The sequence below is a fragment of the Homo sapiens genome, chromosome 1 (assembly GCF_000001405.40).
Source record: "Homo sapiens chromosome 1, GRCh38.p14 Primary Assembly".
NCBI classification, from domain to species: Eukaryota; Metazoa; Chordata; class Mammalia; order Primates; family Hominidae; genus Homo; species Homo sapiens.
In genome coordinates this window covers 40,704,004-40,722,991 of record NC_000001.11, presented here as the reverse complement: position 1 = coordinate 40,722,991, position 18,988 = coordinate 40,704,004, and the positions used below count along the sequence as shown (strand labels likewise).

The 18,988-nt window shown below is 40.3% G+C and overlaps 1 protein-coding gene across 18 annotated transcripts in view, besides 3 other annotated features; it reads right to left on the bottom strand.

Moving 5' to 3' along the window:
* NFYC (nuclear transcription factor Y subunit gamma) overlaps positions 1–18,988 on the bottom strand; it is a 79,900-nt gene that overhangs the window by 48,612 nt on the left and 12,300 nt on the right. For 5 of the 18 annotated variants that reach the window (XM_047421353.1, XM_047421376.1, XM_047421347.1 and 2 more), the window contains exon 1: positions 13,376–13,626. The exons of 8 other annotated variants lie outside the window; for them this stretch is intronic. In XM_047421353.1, the coding sequence (XP_047277309.1) occupies positions 13,376–13,387 (12 nt within the window). In that variant the 5' untranslated portion in view covers positions 13,388–13,626. Of the gene's footprint in view, positions 1–217; positions 556–1,287; positions 1,387–10,522; positions 10,595–13,375; positions 13,627–18,988 lie in introns of those variants that run through there. 5 more of the 18 variants (NM_001142590.2, XM_047421357.1, XM_047421358.1 and 2 more) reach the window with 5 other exon arrangements.
* Positions 7,930–8,569: an enhancer, noted in NCBI's record as "H3K4me1 hESC enhancer chr1:41180095-41180734 (GRCh37/hg19 assembly coordinates)". NCBI's record gives its function as "activates a minimal SCP1, AML or CMV promoter by ChIP-STARR-seq in primed H9 embryonic stem cells {active_cell/tissue: H9 hESC(primed)}" and the evidence as "EXISTENCE:reporter gene assay evidence [ECO:0000049][PMID:30033119]".
* Positions 13,460–14,086: an enhancer, noted in NCBI's record as "OCT4-NANOG-H3K27ac hESC enhancer chr1:41174578-41175204 (GRCh37/hg19 assembly coordinates)". NCBI's record gives its function as "activates a minimal SCP1, AML or CMV promoter by ChIP-STARR-seq in naive H9 embryonic stem cells {active_cell/tissue: H9 hESC(naive)}" and the evidence as "EXISTENCE:reporter gene assay evidence [ECO:0000049][PMID:30033119]".
* Positions 14,129–14,178: a silencer, noted in NCBI's record as "silent region_733". NCBI's record gives its function as "represses an Ori minimal core promoter by ATAC-STARR-seq in GM12878 lymphoblastoid cells {active_cell/tissue: GM12878}" and the evidence as "EXISTENCE:reporter gene assay evidence [ECO:0000049][PMID:35858748]".

Sequence of the window (18,988 nt, the reverse complement as noted above, 5' to 3'; positions counted from 1 at the left end):
AAAATGCAAAAGCTCTAAAATTCTGTCTTGATTTATTATAACTTGCTCTTTCCCACTTTTTGCACTGTTTAAGCTGTCACTCTTTTTTCTTTTCTGTTTTATCCTTCCCCTTTGCATGTCTCTAGGCAGGTTAGCAGCACCTATGAATACTCAGCTGCGAACAGTTGGGGGCACTAAAGCACGAGGTAAATACATAAATAAATAAAATGTATTGGACCTGGGGGTTCTTAGCTCTCTGGCGAACTGTGATCTTGAGCAAATCTCTTAACTTCTTAGAAACTTCTCTATTCATCTAAAGCAACATCCCACAGAGCAGCTGAAACACACAAATGGTAAAACACATGTTAGAAGGCCTCAAAAAATAGCAAGCTTCATACAAATGCCAGATGGCATCATATCATCATGGCTGCCTGAAGCTAGACAAGACACCAACTACTGGTCTGAAGAGTCCCAGATACAGTACCGAGCCTAAAGACCAACTAGCTTCTTTTTCTCTATAATTTAGACTTACTTTGCTTTTGACATATTTCTTTAAAAAGCCTAGTTTCAGATGCATGGAAATACATATTAAAATAGAGAAAGATGTTCTCCTATCTCTTTTATAAACATGAAATAATTTTTAAGCCCTTTAAACTATTAAATTTGGAACAAATGTACTAGTTCCAAAAAAGCAAAGAATTCAAGCTGAACATGGGAACGTTCCAAATTTAAATCCTTGGGTGTGTCAATGATCAATAGCTATACTAGGTTTTCTCTCCACACTAATCCAAAAACATTTAAATTCTTTTTTTAAATTAATTATTTATTTATATATATTTTTTGGGATGGAATCTCACTCTGTCACCCAGGCTGGAATGCAGTAGCATGATCTTGGCTCACTGCAAGCTTCGCCTCCCGGGTCCACACCATTCTCCTGCCTCAGCCTCCCAAGTAGCTGGGACCACAGGTGCCCACCACCACGCCTGGCTAACTTTTTTGTATTTTTAGTAGAGACAGGGTTTCACCGTGTTAGCCAGGATGGTCTCCATCTCCTGACCTCCTGATCCGCCCACCTTGGCCTCCCAAAGTGCTGGGATTACAGGCATGAGCCACCGCGCCCGGCCTTCAATTCTTAGAATATGTCTCCTTGGGCTGGGAACGGTGGCTCATGCCTGTAATCTCAGCACTTTGGGAAGCCAAAGCAGGAGGATCGCTTGAGCCCAGGAGTTCAAGATCAGCCTGGGAAACATAGAAAGACCTCGTCTCTACAAAAAAGAAAAAAAAATTAGCCTGTGTGGTGGCACGCACCTGTAGCTCCCGCTACTCAGGAGGCTGGGGCAGGAGGATCACTTGAGCCGAGGAGCTGGGAGACTGCAATGAGCCATGATTGCACTACTGCACTTCAGCCTGGCAACAGAGTGAGACCCTGTATCAAAAAAAAACCCCAAAAAAACCCACAACCACCACCATCTCCTTGGATACCTAAGACTTCCACAAGCTAGGAGTACGTGCCTGTTTTGTCTTGTGAAAGGAATCTTGTTTATGTTAGAGGGTAGAGGAAACCTGGAGTCCAGGCAGCTCCCCACTCAACCTGGCCCCACCATCCAAGCAAAAGATTCTGTTTGGAGCTCTAAAGAGAGCTCCACCCACTTCCATCTATATCCAACATCCTGAAGTGAACATGAAGGAAACATGTTCTGGAAAGTTGGAATTTCTCAGACTATCTCATGGGTTGAAACCAATGTTTAAGGCTCTTCTGCAATAGCATTGATAAGAAGCTTGCCTTTACAGTACAAATGTAAAGAAATTAAACACTGTCTACACATTCACTAATCAGTGATGATAAATTTTTTTTCTCCCCAAGAAACCATTCCTGGCACACAATCAAATCTATTTCTCTAATTAGCATATTCACTTGCTTCAGACTTGTGTAACATGTTCTCTTTTTTTAGGGGGCATATTATTTTTTAAGCTTAAATTTTTCATGCTCCTATTTTTTCCCCCGTTTGTAAGACAAACATAATCATTTTGTTTCTGATACACCCTCAAGGCAAATATGCCTTGCACATAGTGGGGATTCAATACACATCTACTGAATGAACAAACACAGGTTCCTCAAGAACTTAAAAAAAAATTTTTTTTAAATAACAGTGTCTTGCTCTGTTGCCCACGCTGGAGTGCAGTGGCGTAATCATGGCTCACTGAAGCCTCAACCTCCTGGGTTCAAGTGATCCTCCCCTGCTCAGCCTCCTGAGTAGCGGGGACTACAGGTGCTTGCCACCATACCTGGCTAATTTTTAAAATTTTTTGTAAAGACAGGGTCTTGCTATCTTGCCCAGGCTGGTCTCAAACTCCTGGGCTCAAGTGATCCTCTCACTTTGGCCTGCCAAAGTGCTGGGATTACAGATGTGAGCCACCATGCCTGGACAAGAACTATTTTAAGACCCCAAGTATCCTTGGCCTCATTCTAGGTACTTTTCTTTGAAATGGGAAAATTCCTTCTTAAGTATCTGTGCTCAGTTGTGCAGTAACCTTTGTGCAGTAATCCAATGGAAGAGCCACAAGAGTGGGGTTGGAGAAAAACTTGTTCTACTTTGGAAAATGTAGACAATTATCTAATCATCGGCTCCACTGAAAAATGGGAGATTGTGCTGGTGACTTAATACATCTAAAAACCAGGGGGGTGGTGGGACAGGGGAAGGCAGAAAATTGTCAATTAAAAACCTAGAGGGCGTTATAATAATGTCAATATGAGCTTGGCTGTATTGATTCTGCTGTCTAGATTCTGCTCATTCAGATACACTGTGAATTCTTCCCTCTGTTTAGTGTCTTTTATTGATTTAAATGTTTAAAAGAGGAGAAGAAAGAAAGGAAAACGACATGAAATGAGACAAATCTTCCAAGCCAACCAAACCATAAATCTCTTAACTTCATGTATACAGCTGTCAGGAACTGAGAACATAAAGACCTCTTCAAAGAGGGCAAAGTGACTGAGATAGTTATGCTAATCCCTTACATTTGTACATACTTTACACTTCTTAAAGTAGTTTCATGTTATTTTATGTGTTTCTCACCATAAACACATAAGATAAGCAACACATCTGACAGATAAAGATACTTTATCCAGGTGGACTGAGGAACTTGGCAGAATTCACCAGGACAAGTATATGCCACAGGTGAAATTAAAATTCATGTCTTCTGATTCTCAGTTCTGTGCTCTTTCATTAAATCTTCTCCTTCTACTTTAGAATTGATAACAACAGAAAACACAAAACTTAAGAACCTATAGCTTTTCTCAGCCTGGAACACAAATCCACCAGGCCTTTTTACCTTTCGTTTTCCTGATCACTCTCCTGAAAAAAGTACTCCAAAAAAATCAAGATACCAGATTCTTAAACATTTCAAAGTAGAAAGCTTAAACAAGAAAGCTTAAGGTTTTCAAGCTTGCTAAACTGCAGTTGCATCAAAGGAGTGGGACTAGGCCATCTAGCTACCAAACAAAAGTGGAGATAGAAAGGATCAAGTTCACTTTCTGGGGGCCTGGTGATGGGAAGTCACTCTATCCTTTCTCTATAATTCAGAAGAAGAGCCTTAGCCCAGCCTCCTATATTGGAGATGTTTTCATAGCTGCCCACTTATAGGAGGAATCACCTGGCTAAATTCTATGCAGTGTTTCAAAATTATAGCTATCGCTACATTGTGAACATGGTGATAATGTTATTTTAATTATCCAGCCATTCCTCCAAGAAATCAGAATTCCTTTGTTCCACCTCACTAGGGGTAAGCAAGGATTATAAATCATAGCTAGGAAATTTAAAGCAACGGATTATTTAAGAACACCATGGGCCAGGCGCCGTGGCTCACGCCTGTAATCCCAGCACTTTGGGAGGCTGAGGCGGGCAGATCACGAGGTCATAAGATCAAGACCATCTGGCCAACATGGTGAAACCCCGTCTCTACTAAAAATACAAAAATTAGCTGGGCGTGGTGGCGCACATCTGTAGTCCCAGCTACTCGGGAGGCTGAGGCAGGAGAATCGCTTGAACCTGGGAGGCAGAGGTTGCAGTGAGCCAAGATCGTGCCACTGCACTCCAGCCTGGCGACAGAGCAAGACTCCGTCTCAAAAACAAAACAAAACAAAACAAAACAAAAAAAACCACCATGATTCATCTAAAAATATCGATCTCTATGTTTCAAGATGAGAACCCAAATGTGGGAGCTGCCTCAATACATACCACAAAGTATGTATCTGCATAGCTAAGGAATACCATAGAATACCTAATACAATTCTAACCACATATCTATTTGGAAAAAATCCTTCAACTACTTACCTGACCTTAGTGAATTTAGGATTCATTAAAGACAATTTCCAAAATACTGGTAGTGCTCAATTGTTATCTACTTGTACCATGCTTTGTTCCAAAAAGTGACCGTGTTCACCTATTTTAACAAACACTTTAAAGGTAATTCAATTTGACTGTATGTTTGTTCCCTTTACGATTAGCCTGTTAAGCAGTCTATAATATGAGAGTTGATGAGAACTCTGGGAAAGTTCTGTGCCTTTCAGGGGAGAAGCAAGTATGGAAAAGAGAAGGTAGGAGGAAGAATTAGTCCCCGAAGATGGACACAGCTATAGACTGTTTTTCATATATGGTAAGAAAGTGCAGTATAAAGAGCAAAAGCCTTTGTCACTAGGCTCTGCCTTCTATTTTCTCACCCTCAAAATGGGGGATGATAATCGTCTGTCCTACTTACATTAGGTAGATACCAAATAAGAGAATGAGTATGAAATCACTTCACTAACTATAAAGTACTATTCATATAAACACTGCATTCTATTACATTGCTTAACCACCTTCAAGGGGAGCTTCATGGGCATCTGGCCAATGAATTTCCAAGAGGAAAATAATCATGGAGTTTAGATTATAAATAATGAGGTAAAATGGCTGGAAATTTACCACTATTTCTCTAGTGAAAAGTTTCTTATTGCCTTTATTTTAGATTGAGGATAATTACAACATATATAGCCTAGAAACTAAATATAGGTGTCTTATATTAAAAATTCTGCTAAATCCTACAGATGAGGCTAGTCTCATTCCTGGTAATTAATTGTGTGTGCTGCTCATTGGTGCTACAATGATCATGTGGGCTATAAATTACTTGCTCAGCAAATGCTGCCAAATTCCTACATATGTATTTTTGGTCAGCTTCATGCAGGATGCTGCCATTTGAGATTTTACAAAGCTAAAATCAGTAAGATTATGCCCAAAGCAACTCAAAAAATAAAACCTAGTCTTTGTACCAAATGGAGATATGGTATATGTACTAATCTCAAGGAAATATTTGTACATCTTTAAAGCAAGTGAAGGTCACCAGATTCTAAGGAAGTATTTCTAGTCTTTTACTTATCAAGGCACACACAGAAAGTGTTAATATTAGCTTTTCAAATATTTAACCTATGAGCTGATAATGATGCCCTCATTTAGTTGAACTTGTCAGAAGACCATGTATTACATACGGTGCTCCAAGGACTGCGAGGAAGATGTAGGCTAACAATGAAACCTTTACCTTGTTGTACACGCCTGGATTAAGGGGAGTTACAGATATTCTCTATTTTTAGTAAACTAATACTAAAAAACCAAGCAAGTAACTTTTTGGAATAAAGAATATTAATTCTTACATGGGAAATGCACACTCAGAAAACAGGGGTGTGCAACCAAAAAAAGCTTAGAGAGCACTGACCTAGAGGACTCTACCATGCTCATTTCTGGATTTCTCAACTTTAGAGTCAGACATTTTTGGGCTTCCATGTTTGACATGTAGCACTAGTCTTCTGTCAATTCTCTTTCTTGATTCTCTCCTGTTTGTCCCCTAGGTTCAGCTATAATCTCTATGATCCTAAATTCCAAATATACATTACCAATTTTGATATTTCTCCAAAGCTTCAGTCCTTCATGTACAAGCTGCCTGGCTGGACATCTACAACCAGAAAGCTACCCAGAACTGAAATTCCACGTGCCCCAAATCAAATCTATCTTCTTTTCCCCCCAAACTTGCTCTTCCTAAATTTCTGTTTCTATCCTCCAGTCACCCAGACTGGATAGAAATCTCAGTATCATTTTGCACTTTTTCTCCTCTGTTCCTCAATTCTAATCAGCTGCTAAATTCTATAGTAACAGTGTCCAACAGTGTCCATCTCCTGACCTTTCTTCATACTACCACTATCTCTGTTCAGACCCTCATTGCCTCCATGTAATAAAAACGATGATGATGATAGCCAATGTTCATTAGGAGTTACTGTGTGCCACGTACAATTCTAAGCCCTTTATGTTACTACCTATTTTAAACCTCCTAATAATCCTATAAGGGTTGTGAACCTAAGATGTATAATAAATCATATAAAAGTGCAGCTCTCATAATGCCACATCACTCTACTACCCCAGATTTTCAATGGTCACCAACGTCAAGCAGAGACTGTTCAAATTTCTTAGCCTAGCAAACAAGGCCCTTCAACATCTGACCCAATCTACTTCTCCATACTTCTTTCTTTTACCACTCCTTCCTGTCCTTAACTCATCTCCTTATGCTCTAAGCAGTTGACCATTTACTGCTCTCCTTAACCCAAGATGTACTTTTTGAATCATGATCTTGCTTGTTGCTCCCAATGTCTGGAATGCCCTTGTCCCTACCTCCCTGAGTCTACACCCAGTTAAACAGCTTGCCTTCATTCCTAAGCGAACGTCTCCCCTCCTCTGAATTCTGTGTATTTTGCTTGTTCTTTCCATATCAGTTTCTAATACTTGATAAACATCATCAGTCTCAGAGTAAAATTTTATTTGTATACATTTTTAAAGTCTCCACAAAAAAGACATGCATGCGTGGTGAATTGATGAAAGGAAGTGTAAAAAGCATCCAACTTTAGCATTTCCTTGAAAGTAAGAACTATATAGCTTAGGTAGACAGAAGAAAATTTCATTTTATCTGGATATTTTCAATTGAGCAGGTCTTCCCTTTAGTTTTCTATGTAATTGAAACTATGGAAACAGACCAAAACGGTAGTACTTCCAAGAAGAAAGGATAACCAAGTGAATTAGCACTGCTATTTGCTGTAGTTATTTTAGTCTTCTTTCTTTGAACTAAGGAACACAAGGTCACAATGTTATGCCACTTTAAAGTTAAACATTTACTATGTTTTTTTTTCTTTAGTTCTTCCTTTATACTGGAATTTACCTTCATTCCTTATCCTTCGATTGCCCATTTTCACTGCAGGTGCTAGACTGTAATCTAATTTAGAAAAAATACTATAAGTAGAGAAAAACTTTTGGTCAATTATTGAACAGCGGGGTCTAGCTTTGGGATCCCTAAGGGAGAGACAAGAAGATAAGAGTGATAATACAAATAGAATCTGACCACGTTATAAAGAGGTGGGCCCCCATATGGAGGTAGCAGAACACATTAAAAAGAAAACTAGCCAGGCACAGATGCTCACACCTGTAAATGCCAGTGCTTTGGGAGGCTGAGGTAGAAAGATCCTTTGAGGCCAGGAGTTCGAGACCAGCCAGGGAAAATAATGAGACTCCATTTCTACAGGAAAAAAAAAAAAAGTTTTTGTTTTTTGTTTTTTTTTCTTGAGACGGAATCTCACTCTGTTGCCCAGGCTGGAGTGCAGTGGCACTATCATGGCTCACTGCAACCTCCCAGTTCAAGCAATTCTTGTGCCTCAGCCTCCTGTATAGCTGGGACTACGCCTGGCTAATTTCGGTGTTTTTTTAGTAAAGGCTGGGTTTCACCATGTTGGCCAGGCTGGTCTCAAACTCCTGACCTCAAGTGATCCGCCCACCTTGGCCTCCCAAAGTGCTGGGATTACAGGCATGATCCACCACACCCAGCCAAATTATTATTTATTTATTTATTTATTTATTTATTGTTTTGAGACATGGAGTCTCGATTTGTTGCACAGGCTGGAGTGCAGTGGCGCCATGTCGGCTCACTGCAAGCTCCGCCTCCCGGATTCATGCCATTCTCCTGCCTCAGCCTGCCGAGTAGCTGGGACTACAGGCGCCCGCCACCACACCCGGCTAATTTTTTGTATTTTTAGTAGAGATGAGGTTTAACCATGTTAGCCAGGATGGTCTTGATCTCCTGACCTCGTGATCTGCCTGCCTCGGCCTCCCAAAGTGCTGGGATTACAGGCGTGAGCCACCACGCCCTGCCCTCAAAATTTTTTTTTAATTAGCCAGGCCTAGTAGCGTGCATCTGTAGTCCCAATTACTCGGAGGCTGAGGTGGGAGGACTGCTTGAGCCCAGGAGTTTAAGGTTGCAGTGATCTATGATTACACCACTACACTCTAGCCTGGGTGACAGAGCAAGACCTTGTCTCCAAAAAAAAGGAAAGAAAACTAAACTTCTGGGAAATGTAGACATGAAATATATTCTATCCAGCTATGTCTATTATAATCTTCAGTCAGTACACTTTAGGACTTAAATATTACATAACTTACATCGTTCAAGCCCTCATTCTTTCAATGGACTATAACTTTTGTCTAAATATATGAAGGTCATCACCTTCAGAAAAATTAAAAATGTTAAAGTATATCATGGTCTATCAAAGAATATAAAGAACAAATACTACTCAAACATACACAAGCACATACACACATAATACCACTTTGCTGATGGGAAACAGTAAAGTCAGCACAGTTAAGATATTATTTTGGGTGTCTATAAACAATGATTCCTATTTTAGTCTTGTCAAATGCTTAAAATGACCCTGGAATCTTTGTTTATTAAATACAGGTTAGCTTGTGGACTCACTTTAAGAGCCAGGTCCAAACTTTTTTGGGAATTAGCTTGTTCTTGAAATATAATAACAAAAAAACAACAACAAAAAACACTAACTGGCTTGCAGGTGATGTGTTTGTATACCCTAAATTCCTCATAATGCATAAAAGTAACCTGGCTTTCTGGAATACCTCACAGGTGAACACCATTAGCTTCCTAGCTGGTTCTCAGCTTTCTGAATAAGCAACTAACTGGCTGAGGCAAGGTATCTTCAGATCCCAAAGGGACACTAAATCTGCTGCAGCAGACTTTCTAACCAACACACTTCAGGTAAAGACTTCTGAACCTCTTCCATGGCACATTTTCTCTGTTCCTTCTATACCCAAACAGCAAGCCTATACAGAAGTCCCAAAAAGAAAAGAAACATGAAAAATAAAAAGTGAAAACAACCTAGAGGAATAAAAGAAACATGCAACAAATTGAGTGGGAGTCAAATCTCCAAACTTGTACAAGCCTGTTCCTAAAAAGCTGAAAGACTTGGATTAGGGCACCTGAACTTACTGGGCCTCAATTTCCCCACTTTACAAGAAGGGAACTAGACTAGATCCCTAAGTGATTCCCATCAGCCTAATTTAGATGTATTCAAACTCTGTATGCATATATTATCAGTAATAAGGATAGGCAAAAATCATTCCATTCATGAAGACAGCCATGTTCAACTTTTAATACATTTTTTGGGTTACTGAAGCTCCTACAAAAGTATTTAGCCTCTTTAAAAGGGAGACCTCATCTTGTTTTAAAAACAAAAGCCCAAAGTGACCACGATTGCTGTTTTTAAACCTACACATCCCTGGAACTGGAATTTTATTTGGTAAAGTCAGTATCAATTTTGCCAAACCTCATTCTGTCTGAATATGATTCTTCCAATGCACAGATAGGAAGCAGACACCAATGCTGACTGACCATGCCTGAGAGGAAGTGACTTAATAGGACAGGAAATCAAACATCACAAAATATCAACCCCACCCCTGGGGGGGAAAAAAGGAAGTCCTAAAAATAGATGACACTGGGCATGCAGACTAGATTAAAAGAAACCCCCATGAGTTTCCACCAATTATGTTAGAAAGGTATCTCATAGTAGGTATCAACTGTGTGAAATTTATGTTAGATTTCTGATGAGAGATCAATTATTTTTTTTTAAAGTGTTCATCCCACAATTGGGCACAATGGCTCATGCCTGTAATCCCAGTGCTTGTAATCCCAGCACTTTGGGAGGCCAAGGCAGGAGGATCACTTGAGTCCAGGAGTTTGAGATCAGCCTGGGCAACAAATCAAGACCCCGTCTGTATTTAAAAATAAAAATAAAAATAAATAAATAAAAAAAAATTAGTTGGGCACGGTGGCACATGCCTGTAGTCCCAGCTACTCAGGAGGCTGAAGTAGGAGGATTGCTTGAGCCCAGGAGGTGGAGGCTGCAGTGAGTCATGATCATGCCACGGCACTCCAGCCTGGCACACCAGCCTTGGCAACAGAGCGAGACCTCGTCTGCAAAAAAAAAAAAAAAAAAAAAAAAGGCATTAATCCCAACATTTACTTGCTTACTATACAGCAGGCTATAATTACCTCCCATGCTTGAAAATTGACAGGATAATCACAAAGCAAACAAAAAAAAAAATGGTTCCAGTTTACTTTATAAATATTTGGTATACAAACTAAATATGTAACCTCTGCTTGGTAAACATCTGCAACCATTACAACTTACCTGCATTGTAATGCAAATCTCATAATGCAAATGGAACAGGCTTCCAGATTTTATTCTGAGAGGTTCCTAAATCTAACAAGAGTTTTTTAAAAATCAGCATACCCATTTCATCCTATTCTGAGAGGTCCTTAAATTTTGACAAAGGGGTTAAAATTCTTTCACAAGGATCTTGATGAGTAAAGGACTGGTGGTCTCAACATATGCATTAAATAAATAGGGTCATGTCAGCATAAATAGGAATATGCAGGTGAAGGCAGTTTAAAAAGAAATGTGTCAGGTTTAAACTAACTCCTTTTTACAAATATTAAAATACTGGCATTTTTTTCTTTGATGCCACACCTATCTTCATAAACGTTTCATCCCCCAAATAGTCTGGATTAGTAACAACTAATATTATGTAGCTCTTCACAATTTGCAAAGTACTTTGACACACATGATCTCATTCAAGACTCGCCACTAAATCAGACACTATTTTTAGGTTCCATTTTTACATGTGAGGAAGCTAACACTAAATAGCTGACTTGCCCAAACCTACAAAGCTGGTGATAAAGGTGAGTGGGGCTTGAACACAGATCTCTTGACTTTAAATGGTCTGTACCATGCTGCCTCAAATACTGTGATCAGAGTAAATAAATGTCCATATCTCTAGACCCCATCTAAGCCTCCCCCACTTACACACACAGCCACCCATGGCCTAAATTAGAGTTAGCTCTCTAGAAGGTCTTTGCTCTTTCTGGAAGCAAAGTTTTCTTCATTTGTCTAGTAAACATTTATCTGGCTGAAGTGTTAAATACCATTTGACATACACTAAAAAATAACTTAGTCATCAAAGGTTTTGTACAGGCATGCCCATGTGCATTTTTCCAGGTAGTGGGTCATTCTCAAAGAGAATGGTGAAGAACCTCGGCTAGAGGCAGTGACTGGGCATCTTTCCAAGAAGCCAAATCCACAAAGTTCTCAAGTTTATAGTTTACTTCATACTGTACCACACCTTCACTTTTGCCTCCCCTGCTGCAGGCCTTCTCCTAGGGCCAACAGGGTCAAGTCAGCACCTACAACTGTTTTTAAAATCATATATATAATCTGGAACAACTGATAACATATAAATAATCAATGACAAACAAATAAATTTAAATCAAAATAACTACCTCTTAAAATGTAATCCTTAACACATACTTCTTCATCTTAGGACTTAAATTCCCAGAATGAACATTTTCTTATTATAAGCATTCTAATTCCCCAAAACTTTCACAAATACAACTACTCTGAACTCCTAAAATACTATCTATCCCCTTCACTAAGAACCCTCTAGATTACAAAGAAGACAAGGTAGCATGCAAGGAATTCTGAATCTGTTAGGCAGTTCACTCAGCTATCATACCAAAAGAATTTAGAATTTTTTGCTGGGGGGAGGGAAGTAAAAAGAGTGGGAGAGAGAATGAATGCAGCCCTATTGTCTTATTCCCTGAAAATTCCTAATCTGAATCTATAACATATTCCTACTAACCACTCGACTTGAATATCAGAAGTACAGTCTCTTTTCATCTTAAATAGAGCTTTTCAGTCCAAATCTGTATAAACAAACTTTGTCCTTCAATCTTTCAACTCCCCAGCAGTTTTTCAAGGTCACTTTTGCAAGCAACGACAGAGGCCTGCATCCAGGAACTTTGACTTGCTATATCATTACAACTCCAAGAGCCCCGAATCTAAATCCTATCAGTCCTCTAAGGTAAATCCTTTATTAGAGGGGAAGCTAGGGAAGGCAAATCGACACCCTCGAAACTTCTCCTCTAATAGGGCCTGCTCCTTTTCCGTACCCAGAGACTAAGTGCTGCTGGCTGACGGCTCCACACTGAGTCTGCTGCAGAAATGTTCCAATGACCTTCATTCCATATTTGCAAATAAAAAGAAAACAAAGAATTGCATTTTAAAATCAGGTGTATTATAGATCTTAGTATGTGGGATTGAAGATTTCACTGTTCATGAGAACTGGCTGGTTACTGATTAGCAACCTACATTAGCTTTATATCCATAAAGAGAAAAATATATACATATCAAGGGCAAAAGATAGGGTGCCTATACTCTTAACTTTCCTATTCACAAACTGCAGGATTTTAAATATTTAATACGGAAAAATGGAAAGCACTTTGCTCACATCATTTTAAAGAACTAAATCAACACCTGACAAAATGTGTGAAATCTGTGGAAAAATATTTGCTCATCACTGTCAATATAAGTGAAGATATTTCTAACCAGCATTCTAAGCTAAAATGTGCATTAAAAACAAAGATTGTTACTACATTAACTACTACTTATTAGAATCTAGAGGTAGACTGGTAAATCAAGAAAGTTATGGGAAAATTTCACACTGGCATGTGGGCCTTCACCATTAGAACCTGCAGCAGTGCAAATCGTATTTTCACACAAATTTCTAACAGCAACAGTGTTGCTTCCATATCTGAAAACACAGATGTCAACAAAGTGCATGGAAATAGAAAAACTCTCACAACAACCCAGCTTATTCCGTAGGAAAGCTTCAGGGCACTTGAACAAAGGAAAATTATTTGGAAAACAGTTAAGTTTACCCAATGCAAAGAGAAAAGTGTTTTGCTTCTGTGTGCCCCTGAAAAATGATTAGCCTTTCTCCATGTACCTGATCTTGTCGATACCCAACTAGGAAAGAAATCCTAGTTGAAGGACATGCAAAATCTAAACACAGCAAGGTATTCTAGGTGCACCAAAAGGTATGCATGGAATGTAAAGTGGCCATTTTCTGAACAGTGCAACTTGTCTACACTCTCTGAAGCTAAACAGTTTCTATCATTTCAACACAAAACAAAGAATTAAACTTACCGGGAACTGCATTAATTTTACATGTAGTTATTTATACCTCCACCGACTGGGAGAATTTAAGTCACTCCTATCCCTACCCCCCAAAGGACGGAGGAAACAAAAGGCAGCAGGAGATGCAGAAACATGAGTCTGGAATGTCCACTCCACTGAAAACCCGAACAGCTGTCCTCCCACCCCCCAACAAACTATTCGCCATTTTTCTTTGTCTTTCAGCTGACCCCTGCCTCAGTGAAAAACTCCGAGGCTCCAATGAAGCCCTGCAGCCTCCTTCCACTTTAACAGTCAAAGGCATTCAATCTAGCATGCTATTTGACACCAAACCTTGCCTCCACAGTGGTCCCATTGGCTGAACTGCTTTATCGGCTAAGAACACAAAGCCACGATTGGCTGTTCACGTCATCAGTTACCTCTTTTGTACACTTCCTGTTTTAAAGTTACCTTGAGAAGCAGAACAGGGGTCAGATTCAGACTTCAAACTATGGGGAACTCTAAGGCGTGGAAATGTCTGGCAAATGCACATAGCAGCTGCACTAGGGCATCATGTGCTTCTAAAACAGAATATTGAAAATTTAGAATTGTTCTTAAAAACAAGCCAAAGGGTTGTTAGTGTTCCCACCCACGGGATTTCTTATTGGCTGTCAGAGTTCCATTTAAAAAATTTAAGGTAATTTAACTGCTTCTGATTGGCCATCAAAGATGTCTGTAAGATACTGCTACGGTATCCTATGGCAATAGACCAGAGAAGCAATGTGCACAAGGTCGGAAAGTTGTGACCATCTTCAGTTTTCTGTTGAGCATTAACAGAAGAAAAACAAAACTGGGTAGGGCTAATCCAAAGAAAATACAGCTTCTTTAACACTAACAGAGTGATGCCAATGGCCATACAATAGTTTGCATGATTTCTAAAAGGCATCTGTCATTATGTTAGTGGCACTTTAAAGGCACAGACTGGTATCAAGGCAAAGCACTTTATTTTAAAACACAAACTAATTTAAATAGGAAAATTTTAAGGTAATGTATGAAGTTAGCGGCAGGGACAATGGAAGTGGCATTTCTAGAAAGTCAACCAGGAACCTAAGAAGGAAATATAATGATAAGGGGTTGGGGGGAATGACAAAAAAGCTAGAACATTAGTGAATACAATCATCCCCTGGTATCCATGGGAGACTGGTTCCAGGATACTCCCCAGCCAACCCTCTCATGGATACCAAAATCCTTGGGTGCTCATGTCCCTAATATAAAATGGTATAGTATTTGCATAAAACACTTGCACATTCCCATGTATACTTGTTTTTAAGAGATGGTGTCTCACTATGTTGCTAGGCTGCAATGCAGTAGCTATGCAGGCACAATCAGGGCACAACAGCCTCAAACTCCTGGGCTCAAGCAATCTTCCCACTGCAGCTTCCAACTTGGGTGAAACTACAGGTGCATGTCACTTTGCCCAGCTTCCTCCATACTTTAAATAATCGCTAGGTTATGTATAATACCTAATAAAATGTAAATGCTATATATGTAGTTGTTATACTGTATTGTTTAGGGAATAATGACAAGAAAAAAAGTCTGCATATGTTCCGTACAGACACAATTTTTAAAAATATTTTTGACCCATGGTTGGTTAAATCCTTAGATGCAGAGGGCTGACGATGTATTACTAAAAGCACATTATAATTTGATGGACTAACTGATTTATTTAGGGCAGTCACAGAGTTTGACATTCCAGAGGATAAATTCGTTATTTCTTTCATTCTTTTTTTTTTTTTTTTTGAGATAGGGTCTGGCTCTGTCACCGAAGCTGGGGTGTTGCTGGGGTGTAGAGGCACGATCTCGGCTTACTGCAGCCTCCGCCTCCTGGGCTCAAGCGATCTTCCCACCTTAGCCTCCTGAGTAGCTAGGACTACAGGTGTGTGCTACCACCCCCGCTAATTTTTCTATTTCTTTCTTTTCTTGTTTTTTTTTTTTCTTTTTTTAAATTGGTAGAGATGGGTTCTCACCATGTTGCCCAGGCTGGTCTCGAACTTCTGGGCTGAAGGGATTCTCCTGCCCCTGCCTCCCGAAGTGCTGGGATTACAGGCGTGAGCCACTGTGCCTGGACGAGGATAAATTTTTCTCTCTCTCTCTCTTTTTTTTTTTTTTGGAGATGGAGTCTCACTCTGTTGCCTAGGCTGGAGTGCAGCGGCGTGATCTTGACTCACTGCAACCTCCACCTCCTGGGTTCAAGTGATCTACTTAGTAGCTGGGACTACAGGCACCCACCACCATGCCCAGCTAATTTTTGTATTTTTAGTAGAGATAGGGTTTGACTATGGTGGCCAGGCTGGTCTTGAACTCCTGACCTCAAGTGATCCACCTACCTCGGCCTCCTGAAGTGCTGGGATTACAGGAGTGAGCCACTGCACCCCAGCCTTCTACCATATATATATAAAAAAATTTTCTTTTTTTTTTTTGAGGCAGAGTCTCCCTCTGTCACCTAGGCTAGAGTACAACGGTGCGATCTCAGCTCGCAGCAACCTCTGCCTCCTGGGTTCAAGCGATTCTCATGCCTCGGCCTCCCGAGTAGCTAGGATTACAGGTGCCCACCACCACATCCGACTAATTTTTGTAGTTTTAGTAGAGACAGGGTTTCACCATGTGGGCCAGGGTGGTTTCAAACTCCTGACCTCAGAAAACCTACCCACCTCGGTCTCCCAAAGTGCTGGGATTACAGGCATGAGCCACCACGCCCGGCCCCATATTTTTAAGAATAAGCACAGCAGAGCTGATCTCAGAAGAGATATTATAAGTATTCTTACTAGTCTCACTGTGGTTATTGAAAACATTCCAAGGTGCTGAAGTCTACCAGTGGTAGTCAAAGATTTTCTTATGGATTTTGGACCAACTGCTTCGGTTTTTTAAGAGGCAGCTCCTAATGTGGTGAAAATCAATTAGCATGTTTTTCTTTTCTTTTCATTATTTTTTTTTAGCAACACATTCAAATACAAGCATCTCACCATTCATTACCTGAGGCCTTTAACAATCTCCTTAGATCTGCTTCCTCCCACCAAAGCTAAATATCCTAGGACTGAAAAATACAATTGTTTTGCTAGGTAGACGAGCTCTTTTCTAGAAACTCCTCATTTGACCATACATGAGAACTCATCCTTGACATGTGCAGAGATTCAGCAGGGACCCGAAATAGGAGCAAGGTGGTCTGCCCTATCACTCTGCCATATTAACTTCTCTACATTCCACTCATTTCCCATGATGAAATGAAATGATTTCTGAACACCTACTAGTGCCAGGTTCTGTGCTAGGTATATTACAGACTTTACCCCTCTAATTCTCACTACAATACCCTTCTACCAGTGAGAAAGAGTGAGGTTCAAAGAAGTTACAAAAACTGGTCCCTAGCCATACATCTGGATTCAAACTTGGGTCCCACCGAGAGTGGTACTCTTTCCGCTGCACCACACTGCTTACCAAGACATGGAGCACCTCAGGGCACATCCATGGAAATTCTTAGGTGCCATATATATGTGTAGATAGCATAAACCATTATCCAACTTCAACAAATTTAAAAATTAAAAATCTGGGCCAGGCGTGTTGGCTCACACCTGTAATCCCAGCATTTTGGGAGGCCAAGGAAGGAGGATCACTTGAGCTCAGGCATTTGAGACCAGCCTGGGTAACATAGTGAGACCCCATCTCTATAAAAAATACAAAAATTAGCTAGGTGTGGTGGCACACGCCTGTGGTCCCACTTACTTTGGAAGCTGAGACCAGAGGATCACTTGACCCAGGAGGTCAAGGCTGCAATGAGCCGTGATCATCCCACTGCCCTCCAGCCTGGGCGACAGAGTGAGACTCTACCTCAAGTAAATAAATAAATAAATATTAAAATTTAAAAATCTGACTAATGTTAAATTTGATATGCCAGTTAGAGACCTAGCCAATGGTATGACCAAATATCACCCTATAAATTGTTACAAATTTTACTACTAAATTATTAGGACCATTTAACCAGTAACAAACCACATTTATAAGAGCATGAAACAACTAGGTAAATCATTAACAAGAGTACACTGTTAAAATTTGAAGGGGTTGTGAGACAATTTCACAATGGCATCCAAATAAAGAGTTTGGTTATGTTAACACGATGTGTTATAGGTACTGTAATTCTTTTCTCAAAAGTTTAGATTACAGATTCTGAATAGCTACTCCCATCCTGGGAAGAGAAGGCAGAAGGCCAACAGGCCTTATCTGTACTGGAGCTTCTCTTAGCCCCAGAACACCTGAGGGCCAGTCAGCTGACAAGGAAAAGCAGCTCATGTGAAGGGTGGGGGTGGGGAGCAGAAGAATAGGGAGAACATGTTCACAACCTCGCTGATTACTAATTAGTGCCAGTATGGCAAAACAACTAAGCACTTGGAAGGCAGTGTTAGTTTCAAGTTCTGACTCTACTTATTAATTATATGACACTGTACTAACCCTGAGCCTCAGTTTCCTTATCTGTAATGTATAGATATCACCATGTATACCAGAGAGCCATTTTAAGGATTAAACAAGGTAATATATGTAAAGCATATTGTACTATGCCTGAATAAGCATTGAAAAAATGGAAAGTATTAAATGTCATCCAATTCAACTTCCTTGATTTATAGACGGTTAAGGTTCAGAAAGGGAGAAGACCTGCTTAAGGCCCTGAAGCCACTTTGAAGAAACACCTCTCTTCTATCTCTAGCATATTCTGCAGGCCTGCAGAAAGCAACTCCTTAGCCATAAAGGACAGTATGGGAAGACTACCAGGAGCCATAAAATTCTCCACTTTTTATGCTGGAAACCCAGGTTTTTCACCACTAATCCCACCAAATGTCTGATCACTGTTCCAAAAGCTGGCCCTCCGACTCTGCTTCGGATGTACCAGATTAACCCAATCATGACCTTTAACACTCTATGAAGGTCTTCAGCGTAGTTTTTATTACTTCTTGGCAGTTTGCAAGGAAAAGACCTCAAGTCCTACTTCTCATCAACACTTACCTTAGAATTCAAGCCACAGTGGGAAGAGAACCCAAATTATTCTTGAATTCCATTTGGCAGCTGAATCCATTCACTCTTACTATAGCTTTCTCTTCTACCTGTCATTACTGTGGACTGAGAACCTAACAGAATCTCTAGGATTTCAGCTAACATTCTTCCCTGGTCCTGGATCTCAGCAGCCCTCTACACCAGACAACTGCATCTTCTTACCCTAAAAAACACTCAAATCAGGCTGGGCGCTGTGGCTCACGCCTGTAATACCAGCACTTTGGGAGGCTGAGGGGGGCAGATCACGAATTCAGGAGATCGAGACCATCCTGGCTAACACGGTGAAACCCCGTCTCTACTAACAATACAAAAAATTAGCCGGGCGTGGTGGCGGGCGCCTGTAGTCCCAGCTACCCAAGAGGCTGCAGCAGGGGAACTGCTTGAACCTGGGAGGTGGAGGTTGCAGTGAGCAGAGATCGCGCCACTGCACTCCAGCCTGGGAGACAGAGCTGTCTCCAAAAAAAAAAAAAACACTTAAATCACTATGAGACAAAACCAGTAACTCTGGTTACACGGTTGAAGCTTTAATACTCTCAAAGAAGGTAAAGT